The sequence below is a fragment of the Homo sapiens genome, chromosome 5 (assembly GCF_000001405.40).
Source record: "Homo sapiens chromosome 5, GRCh38.p14 Primary Assembly".
Lineage (NCBI taxonomy): Eukaryota > Metazoa > Chordata > Mammalia > Primates > Hominidae > Homo > Homo sapiens.
In genome coordinates, this window is record NC_000005.10 from 54,875,095 (window position 1) to 54,888,879 (window position 13,785).

Here is a 13,785-nt window from a genome sequence, read left to right on the forward strand (position 1 = left end):
CAGGAGTTGAAGATGCAGAATCAATGAAACAAAGAGGCCTGCAGCCTACCAAAGAAGAAAGCCACTTGGAAAGAAGAGTGTGCACCCAAGTGATATTAGAAAGTTGGTCCATCAGAAGCACCTCCAGGGCCACCTGAGGTATAAGGGAAGGAGCAATCCAACTATAAAGTGTCTCTCCCTATCCCTAATCTCTAAAGTGAGATTAATGACTTCACTTGGAAAGGGGCAGATTTAAGTGGCCGTCCTATGCATGGGTTATTCTGTCCACAAGTGATACCAAGCATCTTATTTAGTACTGAGGATTCAATGGTGAACATGAGAGACTGCTAATCAAGTTATTACAGTTGCTTGATTATTAATTGAAAAACACACAACAGAAGCACGGGGCCTAATCAAGGGAGGCGGAGTCAGAGGGTTTCAGGCAATGGCTTCTGGAAAGACCTGAGCAATGGAGCAGACAGGAAGACAGGAAAGAAGGGAGAGAGTGTTGCAGGAAGTCAAGGACCCCAAACGGAGGGACCGACTGAAGCCATGACAGAAGAACGTGGATTATGAAGATTTTATGGACACTTATTAGTTCCCCAAATTAATACTTTTGTAATTTCTTATGCCTGTCTTTACTGCAATCTCTAAACATAAATTGTAAAGATTTCATGGACACTTATCACTTCCCCAATCAATATCCTTGTGATTTCCTATGCCTGTCTTTGCTTTAATCTCTTAATCCTGTCAGCCGAGAAGGATGTATATCGTCTCAGGACCCTGTAATAATTGCGTTAACTACACAAATTGTACAGCATGTGTGTTTGAGCAATATGAAATGTGGGCACCTTGAAAAAAGAACAGGATAAGAGCAATTGTTCAGGGAATAAGAGAGATAACCTTAAACTCTGACCGCCAGTGAGCCGGGCGGAACAGAGCCATATTTCTCTTCTTTCAAAAGCAAATGGGAGAAATATCGATGAATTCCTTTTCTCAGCATGGAACGTCCCTGAGAAAGAGAATGCGCACCTAGGAGTAGGTCTCTGAACTGGCCCCCCCGGGGCGTACCTGTCTCTTATGGTCGAGATTGCAGAGGTGAAATAAACTCCAGTCTCCCATAGTGCTCCCAGGCTTATTAGGAAGAGGAAATTCCCACCTAATAAATTTTGGTCAGACCGGTTGATCTCAAAACCCTGTCTCCTGATAAGATGTTATCAATGACAGTGGTGCCCAAAACTTCATTAGCAATTTTAATTTCGCTTCGGTCCTGTGGTCCTGTGATCTCGCCCTGCCTCCACTTGCCTTGTGATATTCTATTACCCTGTTAAGTACTTGATGTCTGTCACCCACACCTATTCGTATACTCCCTCCCCTTTTGAAACTCCCTAATAAAAACTTGCTGGTTTTTGTGGCTTGTGGGGCATCACGGATCCTACCAATGTGTGATGTCTCCCCTGGACGCTCAGCTTTAAAATTTCTCTCTTTTGTACTCTGTCCTTTTATTTCTCAAGCCAGTCGACACTTAGGAAAATAGAAAAGAACCTACGTGATTATCGGGGCAGGTCCCCTGATAAGAGAGGTGAACACAAGCACCTGAAAGTCCAGTCTGGCTGAGGGCAGTGTTAGGAGGACAGCTAGGGTGGAGGCTGAGGGGTGTGTGAGGGGTCACGGGGCAAACGTCAGAGAACAAACCCCACCTTGTCCTTCTGAAAGGCCTTCTCTGGCCACTCTGTTTAAAGTGCCCTCACACACAGACATGCAAATGCACACAGGTCGATGGCTGGCTACTCCTTTCAAGGCCCTTATCATAATCTCTAATTACTTTCTTTATTTGCTTTCTTATTATCCAGCCCCAAGACCACACCACCCCAAATAAAATGTAAGATTCTGAGGTCAGAAGCTTTTGTTAGTCTTGATCACTGCCTAATTTTCAGTGCCTAGAACAAGTGCCTGGCAAACAGTACTCACTAAATAAATGCTGGTCTTGGAAAGCAAGTTAAAGAATTCAGACTCCATCCGCAAAGAGGGCTAGATAGGGAGCAAATAGGGACATTCATGATCAGATTGCAGTTTAGGAGATGACTGGCTGAAACGCAGACTCTCAGCAAGTAGCTGGGTCTAGGGAAAGGGAGGAGAAAGGGTGTGTTCAAGAAATATTTAGATAGGATTGTCAGGGTAGGGAGAAGGGAGAGGACAAAGGGGCAATCCAGATCAATTTCTAGGTTTCAGGCTTAGTATCTACTTACTGAGACAGGGAACCTGGGAGGAGAAGCTTTGGTTTCATTTTGTGTTGTTTTGTTGATGTATATGTGACAAGAAATTCTCACTGAACTTTTGGGGAGCAAGCAAATGACTCACCAACTGGATCCCCTTGGACAGGGAGGGCCTTATGAACTATGTTAAGGAGGTTGAACCTTATTCTGAAAACAATAGGCAAGCATCAAATGATTTTCATTTGAAGAGAGACAGATCTGTTTGGGGTTTTAGAAAGATCAATCAGTCTCATAGCTATGTGAGTTCAAAACTAGCGCAGGATGGAAACTGATTAGGAAAGTATTTCAAAAAAGATTTTAGATCACCTTTCACTGAAAATTAGAATTACCTTTTTGTATCATATTTTCGCTAATTTTATAATTGTGCCTCTTTGTGTATTGCTATTCTTCCAAATATATTCTGCAGATATCATAATTATAACTTATTTTTAAAATTTAAAAAAATAAAAACTTCTGTGATAAATTATTTGCATTACACAAAGTCCTAAGATGAGGTCTTAAGAGGAGGTCTTGCATTAATAAAGCAGCTCTTACTTCTGTTGTGTCATCTGAGATTAGTGACTTCACTTGGAAAGGAACACCACACTTTGCATTACAAATCTATCCTTAAGAATCTCAGCTGGACTAGGTGGCTCACGCCTGTAATCCCAGCACTTTGGGAGGCCGAGGCAGGCAGATCACCTGCGGTCAGGAGTTCAAGACCAGCCTGGCCAACATGGCAAAACCCCATCTCTACCAAAAATATAAAAAATTAGCAGGGCATGGTGGTGTCCTGGCTGCTGCTTGGGACCATGTGCAGGGCTGTCCTCTGGACTCTGGAAGCTGCACTCTGCAGTTTGAGGTCAATAAACGGAAACTGCCACAATTTTTATACTGCTATTTCTAAAGATGTCACTTATAAGGAACTTAAAAAACCTATTGAATTCTAAAAATATCATATTAATTGATGTTAGAAAGACACGGGAAATTCTGGAGTATGGAAAAATCCCTGGGTCTATCAATATACCATTGGATGAGGTAGGTGAAGCTCTACAGATAAACCCAAGAGACTTCAAAGAGAAATACAATGAAGTAAAGCCATCCAAATCTGGCAACTTGGTGTTTTCTTTTTCAGCTGGAGTGAGAAGCAAGAAGGCTCTGGGCACTGCAATATCGCAGGGCTTTCACAGTGCTCAACACTATGCTGGAGGATGGAAAGAGTGGGTAACCTATGAATTTTCAGAGAAGAGACAAGGAATTTGAATTTTTGGAATACAAGTTGCCTCTTTCCTTGCGTACATGCAGCCTAGGATAGTGGAATGAGCAAAATAATAAAAATCTAGTTCTGGCACCACCGATTATGGAAAGGGGATTTTTGTATAAGTCAGCTAGTTGTTGAATCATATTCTCATCTGTAAACTGAAAATGCCACTCTCCCCTGAGATGATGCATGTTACTCACCATGGAAATATAAGGGTTGGGATTTTAGGAATTAATTTTAAAGTAGCTTAGTATCATTCAATAGTATTCTGAAAGACCAGGTTACTTACATTACCTAATCATGTATGACATTGTGTTAGTATACCTTCTATTCATCAAAGAGATTATGAGCTAGACCTGCAGATTAACACGCAAATGTGACCTTAAAAAAATCAATTAATCTGGGATCCAGAGAAGTAGGTGAAATTTGAACGATGAAAATACATTAACAGCTTCTAATGACTTATAGCAGTGTTATGACTAGCATGGTAGTGATGAAATTTGTAATATAAAAAATTAAAATTAATATGATAATATGGGGATAGATAATCAGGACAGTGGTTGCTTTTCTAGAGGGAAGAAGATTAACTGGAAAAGGCAAGGAGGAGCCAGGCACGGTGGCTCAGGCCCGTAATCCCAGCACTTTGGGATGCCGAGGCAGGTGGATCGCTTGAGCTCAGGAGTTCGAGACCCGCCTGTGCGTGGTAAAATCCAGTCTGTACAAAAAAAAAAAATACGAAAAATTAACCAGCCATGGTGGCACGTGTCTGTAGTCCCAGCTACTTGGGGGGATGAGGTGGGAGGATCACTTGAGCACTGGAAGATCACTTGAGGCCAGGAGGTCAAGGGAGCAGTGAGCCAAGATCACACTACTGCACTCCAGCCTGGGTGACAGAGTGAGACGCTGTCTCAGAACAACAACAACAAATTGGAAAAAAAAAAAAAAAGGCAAGGAGAGAACTTTCTAGGGTGATGGAAATGTTCTGTATCTTGACTGAGGTATGGATACATTGGTATATACATTTAAATGTAAATGACTCCCACTAGCATGGGTATATTCCTTTGGAATGTTAAGTCCTATACTTGTTAGTGTGCTAATGCACTGGTGGCAAAATAAACCTGTTTTCTCTTGTCAAAAAAAAAGAAAGAAAGAACTTAGCACAAACATCAAACATGCCCTGGGAAGCTCAATCTCCTTTATTCACTGAAAGCAAACCCCAACAGGGAAAATTCTGAAAGTCTCTGCCACAAAACTCAGGGCTACTAAAATACTTGCTCCATGGCTATAGGGCAGACAGTTGACCAGATATTCAGAAGACTGGAGTGAGGGGGAAGCTCTGGTGCCACATCCCTCTGCTGGCACTTTTGGAGGAGAGCAGAGGAGAGAGTGCTAGGCCCAGGCCCACAGTGAAAATGCAAATCTTGGGTTTCCAAGTACAGCCAAAGCAATCTATAGCCCTGGACTTCCTGCTTTGCAGAACACAACCCACCAGTCTCTCATCTATTCATTCATTCTCCAAATATTAGCTTTCCTGCAACTGTTTTGTACTGGGACCTGAAGTTACAAAAAGAAAAACAGCAGGTACCCTGCCCCTACTTCCTCTCAACAGGGCATTCCCCAGGACCCCATGTCCACTGTGCAAGGCCATGTAGATTGTGACCAGCATAATTCCAGGAGAAGCTGTTCCTGGAGTCTCTGATGTAAGTAGCATCCCCTGGAATTGTGCAGTGAGGCAGTCCTGGTGCCCAGTCTACCCCGGTTGAGCTGACAACTCTCTCTTAGGTGTCACAGAACCTGTGTCCTATCCTGTATGCCCCTTGTGTGGCAATTATGTGTTCCTGTATTCGTTGCCCAACTAGTGTGGGAGTTTGCCAGGCCCCAGCCACAGGCATGGGAGTCAGTGCTGTAGCCAGACTCACTCCCCACAGGGACAGAACCTTCTCTAAAGCCCCCAGCCTAACATTGGTAGCTCTTCCAGCCCCTCATTCCTCTCTGATGGCACTGCCATCTCATGCCCCCATAAGATTATATGGCCATTGAATTATCTCTTTTACTAAGACAAAAACTCCCTGTATAAGTTTCCTGTTGCTACTATAACAAATTGCCACAAATTGAGTGGCTTACACTAACACAAATTTATTATCTTATAAGTTCTGGAGGTCAGAATCTGAAAGCGGTCCCATTGAGCTAAAATCGAGGTGTCTGAAGGGCTGCCTTCCTTCTAGAGGCTCTAGGGGAGAATCTATTTTCTTCATTTTCCAGCTGCTAGAGGCCACCTGCTTTCCTTGGCGTGTGGCCCCAGCCAGCAATCACACCTCTTCAACCTCAGCTTCCCATCTCCTCCTCCAACTCTCACTCTCCTATTTCCCTCTTATAAGACCCTTCTGATATTCAGGGCCCATTCAGATAACCCAGGATCCTCTCTTCATTTCAAAATCCTAAATATAATCATATCTACAAAGTCCCTTTTCCCATATAAAGCAATATATTCACACATTCAGAGATTAGGACATGAACATCTCTGGGGGCCTGGTTTTCTGCCTACCACACTCCCCAGGAGCATTCTATCCTTCAGTCACTTGTACTTAATGAGCATCTATTATTTGTAGGTTAATGGACTATGTGCTGGGAATACAGAGGTCAATAAGGCAGTAGCTAAGGGCCTCCGGAGCAAAGGCCGAGAGGGCTTTATGGTGATTTGTATGTCCTGTACAGCCCTATTTAAAAAGAAAAAAGTTAAAACCAGGAGATTTTAAAGAAAAACCTGGACTTTTTGGCTTCTCTAGAAAAGCCAGATGGTCAGGGCACCCTGGGACTCATTAGTTCCCACAACATAGCAACCATGTATGGGGTGTGGATGCTTCAACCACAGGGTACCCACCACTCTGCGTCACCTCCTGCCACACTAAGTGGCTGCTTGGCTCACTATGACTCACTGGCTCCTGAAAACATTAGGGTTTGGGCACCACAGCTTTGGAGAAGAAATGGTAACGTGGGATGCCAAGTTATTTACTTTGGAACCAAAAGAAAATGTTAGGACTTCTGGGGTTGTTGTATCTAAAAACCAGTAAGAACTGAAGATTTTTTTCATTTGAAATTTACAGACTGATTGACATCCTGTCTCAACTGGCATGAGACGGCCTCACCTGCTGAGTGTGAGTTTCATCTGCTCAGTACACAAGTCTCCTAAGGGATGGGTGGGGCTTCTACAATGTAGAAAGTGACTGTGATGCCCTCTCTCTCTCCCCACATTCAGTACACACCACCGGCAGGTTTGCCTGGATAACTGGGTCTACTAATTGCATTATCTCACTGTAACTAAACAAGTCCTGACAAATATGATCAGGAGCTTACAAAATTCCTCCAAACAAACCACAGGCTAAAGCTATATACAAATAATGTAAGGACCAGTAACGCAGAGGAACAAGCGATGCTGGTGATTCTCTTCCTGGACAAGTTCTCCACCAGCCTTGTTACAAGGTAAGGCAGTAATACGCTAAGGAGATCTGACAAGAAGGTAGTCAAACAATGAGAAATTATTGAACCATTGAACCATTGAACCATTGATTGAGTCTAGTGCTGAGTGGTCTAGTTTTGGTAGCACTAATAGATGATTTACAAATAAAGATATTTCTATCTAGACAGTATTTTGTCACTAGACAAAGGTGGTTTCCCACCGTGATGAAACTTGCCAAGCCCAGGACACGTCACCCTTTGTTCTTCAAGGACTGAGAGCAGAACCGACCTAAAGGCAATAGCCTGAATCACCCAAGGAGCTAAGGAAGAAACTTAAATTCATATAATGCATCTGGCTACTCAAGAAAATATTCTTCCAAGTATGCCAAAGTAGATTTGAATAAGACTTTGGTATTCAATATTTGTCATGCCATCGGCACCATGGATGAAGAACAGCATATATGCTAAAATATATGCTATGGAATTCTTTATTCAATAAATCTCCATTACCCACATTCTCTCCCCTAAATGGATTTCTAATCCACTGGCACTTACCCAAGGTAATTGCACAGATGGGGAGGAAAGGAGGGTAATGAGTAGGAAAGGATGGAAATGAGTATTTAATGAGTGGTTCTCAGGCTGCTAGGCAGTCTTACATAGTATTTTATTTAAGCCTCTCTGAAGAAGCTATCATCATCTCCATTTTACATAGATAAAAATCAAGACTCAGAGAAGTAACTTCCCCAAATTCTAAGAATATAGGACAGCACCCTGATTGAAGCCACATCCATCTGACTGCAATGCTTCCTATCACCCTACACTGACCACTTGGATCACTGGATCCTTGCCCATCACCACCCAATCTGTCCCCGCGTGGCACTCACTGCACTCTCAGATCTCCCTGGCCTGCAACTCACATCTTCCCCCTCAAAGCCACAGTCACAGTAGCCCTAGGCCTCCAGTTCCCTGTGCTATCCACTCTGGGAACCAGGCAGGAATGGGCGGGGAAGCGGTACAGGAAAATCCAGGACGGAAGGAGCAGAGCTGAGAACAGAGCCCGGCCTCCCCACTGCCACAAGGGGAAGGTGAGGCATCCTCTACTCCAGGGGTGGGTCATCGCTGGAAGGTGCTGCAAAGCTCCTATGAAATCAGCAAGAGTGTAGGCAGCAAGGACACTATTTGTCTACGCCTAAAATGCAGTGAATAAGACTTTAGAATTTGATCCAAGTACTACAGCGATACAAGGCCTTTGATTTAGAATGTGTTCTCTTAAAAAGTCTCCAAGGGAGTCTGTTGCTGAACCGAATTCAATTTTAAAACGCCGTGAAGGGAGGGAAGAACCAAGTACAGGGCTCAATCACGTAAAAAGTCTAAAGAATTATGTCATTAGCAATCTTTAACCTCTGAAAAGCGCCACAGAAATGTAGAGCACGTCTTCCTAATGGAACCGAGAAATTTTATGCTGACAGGTGGAGGGGCTTATGGGACAGCGGGCCGGTGGCCAAAGAAGATTCCAGCGGTAAGTTTATGGTAACCCGAGCCCTGCGGGTCACGTGCGGCAGAGTAACTCGCCGGGGGCGGGGTGAGGAGCAGTGCTAAGAAGGATCAGGAGGGAAGACAGCAGGAATCATTCATTCTGCTCGTAGGAATACAGTCAGGAGGCCGACTTTAAAACTCCGATCCTCCGGGAAGGCCACGCGGAGGTGAGGAACAGGTCCTGCCCTGGAGGCGCCAGCCGCACCGACCGGGAGATGGAAGTTTTTCGCGGCGGCGCCCCAGCCACTTCGCAGGGCCGAGCGGTCTCCTCCACCGGCCGCCCGGCTCAGGAATGCCCTGCCTGCGAGTCAAAGTCGGGGTCGCGGCGGGGCGAACCTGGCCCAGCATTGCCTGGGGCCCTCAGGAGCGCCGAGGGGGTCTCCCTGCCAGCGCCCTCCTCCCCGCTCGCCCACCCTCTCCAAGCGGGCTCCGCGCGGCCGGGGATGGGACGAGGAGGGGAAGTTTGGGGCGCGTACCTCCTAGCGCCCCGCAGAACCCCAGGCAGGCAGCCAGTAGGACGAGGCGGCGGGCCCCGAACCGCCCCATCCCGCCGCGGCGGCCCCGCGTCCCGCGCTCACTCCCCAGCGGCGGCCGAGCTACCTGCGCCGCCGCGACCCGGAGCCCGGCAAGGGGGCGCCGCCCCCCAACATCTCGGGGGCAGGGCCGGGGCGGGGAGAGCCATTTGCATCCTGAAGCTGTTGCGCCCCTTCAGCGCAAGGAGCGGGCTGGGCCTTTACCCCGATCCTTACCCCCCGCCCTCCGCTGGTAGCATCAAACTGGCCTGGTGGCACCTAAGTAAGGGGGCAGAGAGTAAACGGCCCCTGCCCCACCCGGCCGAAATCTGCGATGGAGGGAAGTGTGCATGTCCGAGCAGGTGATTGTGACAAGTCAAGAGTGAGGGCAGCAGGCTGGAGGGTTGGGAGGAGGCAGAAGGATTCCTGGAGAAGGTAGGACAGTCATCCGGCCTTGAGGCAACCGCTTCCCCTGACCAGGGTGAGCTTCAGGAGGGCAGAGGGTTTGTTTCTCTCATTTCTATATCCTCAGTGTCTGCCTGGCGCATAGCATCAGTAAATAGGTGTTGGATGAATATGAATGGAAGGAGAGAAGACAACCTAATCATTCCTTCTTAAATGTGAGTCTGATTTTTGTTTCTTTGAAAGCACGGCCCCTAAATTATTCCACTGAATTTTTGAAGCAACTCTATCAGAAGACCCAAGAGTCCCCACCCGGTGGATATCGCCCCTGAGTTTTGGTACGTGATCATAGAGAAGAAAAGCCTCCACTCAGGTCTGCGGCTACTGGTAAAAATTAACGTAAGCAGGGCCTGAAGAGGATAGTGCTTGACGGGGATGCGCCAGGGACCTTCTAGAATCTGCTCCTCTGGGCAACATTTCTTTCAGTTGTGTTCTCTGCAACATGGGTGTTTATCAAAATGCCAACACGTGCTACAAGAACAATCAATGCTAGTGGTATTTTGTTCCTAATAAAATTAACAATGTCATTTCCCCTTCATTTGCTTTTTTGGTTCTGTAATGAAGTGCTTTTTAAGCATAGAATCAAATTTTGACCATTTCCTCAGCACATGACCTGTGAGACCACTGTTTTTACTTCTGAGCTGGAATGTTTTGTCTACCCAGCAGCCTCCCTTCTCCTGAGAACCTCACCCTCTTTCTTTAAGGGACTTTCTACTCCTGCTTTGACCATGTGTAGAAAATGGGAGTTGGCCTCCACATTCATGGGCCACAGTGATAGGTCAAGGAGTGGGTTCTTGACTGGAGCAGGACCAATCAGTTTCAATTTAAAGACTTTTGGGGAAGGCTTCTAAAGGACAAGGATCGGCTCCTCTTTGGAGGGGAGGCAGGGAAGCTATAGGTAAAGCCATCTGCCTTTTCAAATAAGCTAGCCTCTAAATGAGAAGAGAGCAGACAAAAAGATTTGCAGCTTGGCCTGGGATGAATGAGATCTGTCGTGTCCATTCATCCACAAGGCCAGCTGTACTCTTATCTTTTCTGGGATTTGATTACATGAGTCAGTCAAGTCCCCTTTTAACCTAAGCTACCTCAGGTAGGGTTCTATTACTTTAAGCAAAAGAACCTTCTTAACTTCAATCCAAGCATGATTTACATCACACTAGCTATGGTTTGTGCTCTGCAGGCCATAAATTTGCAAGCCCCAAGAGGAGGAGCTGACTTCCAGCTGATCACTGTCCTCAGCCCAGATTCGCCTGGCACTCATGATTGCCTTACATGCTATTGACTTTCTCCGGCAAGCACCTGCAGCTCTCTACATGGGACTTACTCTCTGGGTGTAGGACCATGCCTCGCCCTTGAATGCCCAAGACAGGCCAGGGGTGGATGCTCACAGGAGCAGCCCTCAACCAATTATGGAAGGGAATTGGTGACCAAATATCCAAATTTCCTCACCCTGGGGTGGGACAACACCAAAGTGGGTTCTAAATAGTCTCCTAGAGGACTAGGCTCTAATTACCCATGGTGGTAACCTAACCTGCTCATTAATGTGAGTACTTGGTGGAACTGCATATTTAGTCCCAAACAAGAAAGTTGGGGGTTGGAAGGAGCTTCTGAGAAGGAAGTAGAAGGAGCAGATTTTGTGGTTAAGAACCTGGCCACTGACTTTGCATCCCAGACTTACCTCAGTGGCCCAGGGCAAGTCCCTTAGCCTCTTTGTGCCTTGATACCAGGCCTGCCACATGCTTTTTGCCGCAAAATGGGCATAGTGATAGTTCCTACCTCATATGATGGTTGTGAGGATTCGTTATGACTTTTTGAAGTCTCAGAATGGAGCTAAAGGGGCAGAGAGATTCCACTGACATGTGTGGTGGTTTTGTGCCTAATATACAGGTGAATCCAAGCTTCCTTTTCTACAACTCCTTCCTCTCTGGGTTGCAAGGACAGTCGCAGTAGTTCTTTAGCTTCAAACTAAATTAGAGCAGGATTTCAAAGTAGCTTGAAGAGTCTAGTTAGAGGTCCCCAACCACCCCTGGCAAGAACCCTTAAAGCTGCCTGGGCAGGTGGAGTTCTACCCCTGGCCTCGCTGGACTCATCTACATCTCCTAGTTCCTTTGTGTCCTATCTGCCCCCCCATCCCAATCAAATGTTGTGCACTTTATCAGTATTGTTTCTCCAACAAGCAAGAAATGAGTAATCAGCTGGCTGACAAGCATCTAAGAGGGGAACCAGCCGAAAAAGATTAGATTTTCCAGGCTCCACACAAACCTATTACTCCCAGCCACTGTGGTCTCCCACATAGCCCAGTATAAACTAAACACACTGTGCCTCTGCTTTTTCCTTCTTAAAATGTGGAAATCACACCAACGCTCTACAGTCCTTCAAAAGCTTTAGCATTTTAAGCAAATGGAAAGCCTCTCCACAAGGAATGTGAGTTAATAAGCACAAAAATTGGCCCCACCCTGGGCTGTGTCCTACCAGAGTGCTGGAGGTGAAGCTTGGGAAGTCTGCTGGGGTCTGAAAGGCCAGTTCAGCTCAGATCAATCCAAGCATGCAGAAATTATCCTGGCAGGCTCAAGTATCCATATAAATGTAAAAGCACAGGCAGCATAGAACAAGATTACCCAGAGAGGCCCAAGCTCTCACCAATGTCTCCCAGAGGGGCATCTATTCAAATATTGGTTATCTCTGGCTAAGAACACAAGCTCAGGGGTTTGAAAGACCTGGGTGCAAATTCTGCCTTGGATACTAGTAAGTGACATTGGTATGTGACCTTGGCCAAATCACTTAAATGTTCCAACTCTCCCCTCGTTTGTAAAATGCAGATAATCATTCTGATTCCATAGGTGTGTTGCGCAGGTTAGTGAACTCATGAGGATTGAGTATTAAACAGTACCTGGCTCATGGTAAGAATTCTGGGCACTATAATTATACCTGGGGGCCCAGTTGGGCCTGCAGGCCTTCTCTACCAGCCTCTGAGTAGCCCTGACTCGATCCCAAGCCTCAGACACACACTCTTGAGAATGAGCCATCTCTCATCTTTCCTGCAGCATGGAGGACTGTTTCATTTTTTTTCTGTGTACTTAGCCATGTATACTGCTAAAGACTACTTATGTTCTCCATGTTAGTAATCTCCAGCATCCTCCAGCTGTCCACAGCAGTGTGGATTTTCTAGGGGCTGAAGAACACAGGACCAGATGGGTAGGATTTATAGCTCTGGTCCTAGATGTGGGACAAGGCACGTATCCTGCACCAGCCTCAGCTTCCTCCCTTATGAAATGAGAGGGATGGACTAAATGATCCATAAATTCCCTTCAGGCTCAACATTTTATGATTCTAACTGGTTATCATTAGCATCAGATGGCTCCCTCATTTAAATAGAGCTCTTTAAATGGGCACACAAGGAAACTTGTAAAGTTTGGATTTCTTTACACAAACCAAGGTAGTGATTGCCAATAACTTGAAGCTTTTAATTTAGAAACATCTTTCAAAATGTCAAAAAGAGATAACTATGAATTTGCTCCCCGTAGGGCACCACTTGCTCCTCTTGTTTGAATTAGTTCTAAATTACCACTTAAATGCTTCAAAGATTGAATGTGATCTCCATCCAATTTCCATGGCAGCTAAGATGGATCTAGAATACCGGGAAGTTAAGATGCTCAGTTAGGGAAAACCCATGTATGTGGTGACTCTAAGGATGTTTCTTTGTAGTGTCTGGTCAGGAAATCCACCCAAATAAGGGCCACACTCTAACCTAGTCATTTTGACTGGCACTCTCCTGCTATACCCCAGCAACAGGAATTATCCTATTCAGATATTGGCCTGAACATGGTTCACTCAGAAATGAAGGTATAGAGAGCATAAAACAAATATAGGGATGTGCCATTCATTGATTCAACAAATATTCACTGAACTCTTTCAAATGCAAAAGGCACATGAAAGATGCCCTGGTGCATGCAGAGATCAGTTACAGACTCTGCTTTCTAGGAAGCTGCAACATAGAGAGAGACATAAGACATGTACAGCAGTAATTTTAATAAAAGTGAATTGGAAGTTGGGTCATGCCTCTGGGCCCAAAAGTCTCCTTTCTGGAACTGTCCAGCCCATACACCATTGTTGATGTGACCAGCTTGAGCAGCTGTGTCAGATTTGCATGGCCCCTCACCCTCTGACCCCACACAGTTGGACCAGGTGAATTCCTCATCTAAAGGGCATGACCCTGGGAAACAAGAATGTCAAAGCTGATTCCTTCTCAAAACTTTCAACCAAGAAGCATAAAGAATGCAATGATCTGGTGGCAGTCACAGAACCAGTAAGTCATGTGCAGGTG

The 13,785-nt window shown here is 45.7% G+C and overlaps 1 long non-coding RNA gene and 1 pseudogene across 1 annotated transcript; both read left to right on the top strand.

Annotated features, from left to right (window-relative positions):
- On the top strand, positions 3,189–3,464 carry LOC100130574 (thiosulfate sulfurtransferase like domain containing 1 pseudogene; annotated as a pseudogene).
- LOC124900976 (uncharacterized) lies at positions 8,585–9,999 on the top strand. The gene is made up of 2 exons (XR_007058770.1): positions 8,585–8,654; positions 9,532–9,999. It is a non-coding gene; the product is annotated as an uncharacterized LOC124900976 (long non-coding RNA).
- The last annotated feature ends 3,786 nt before the right edge of the window (positions 10,000–13,785 follow it).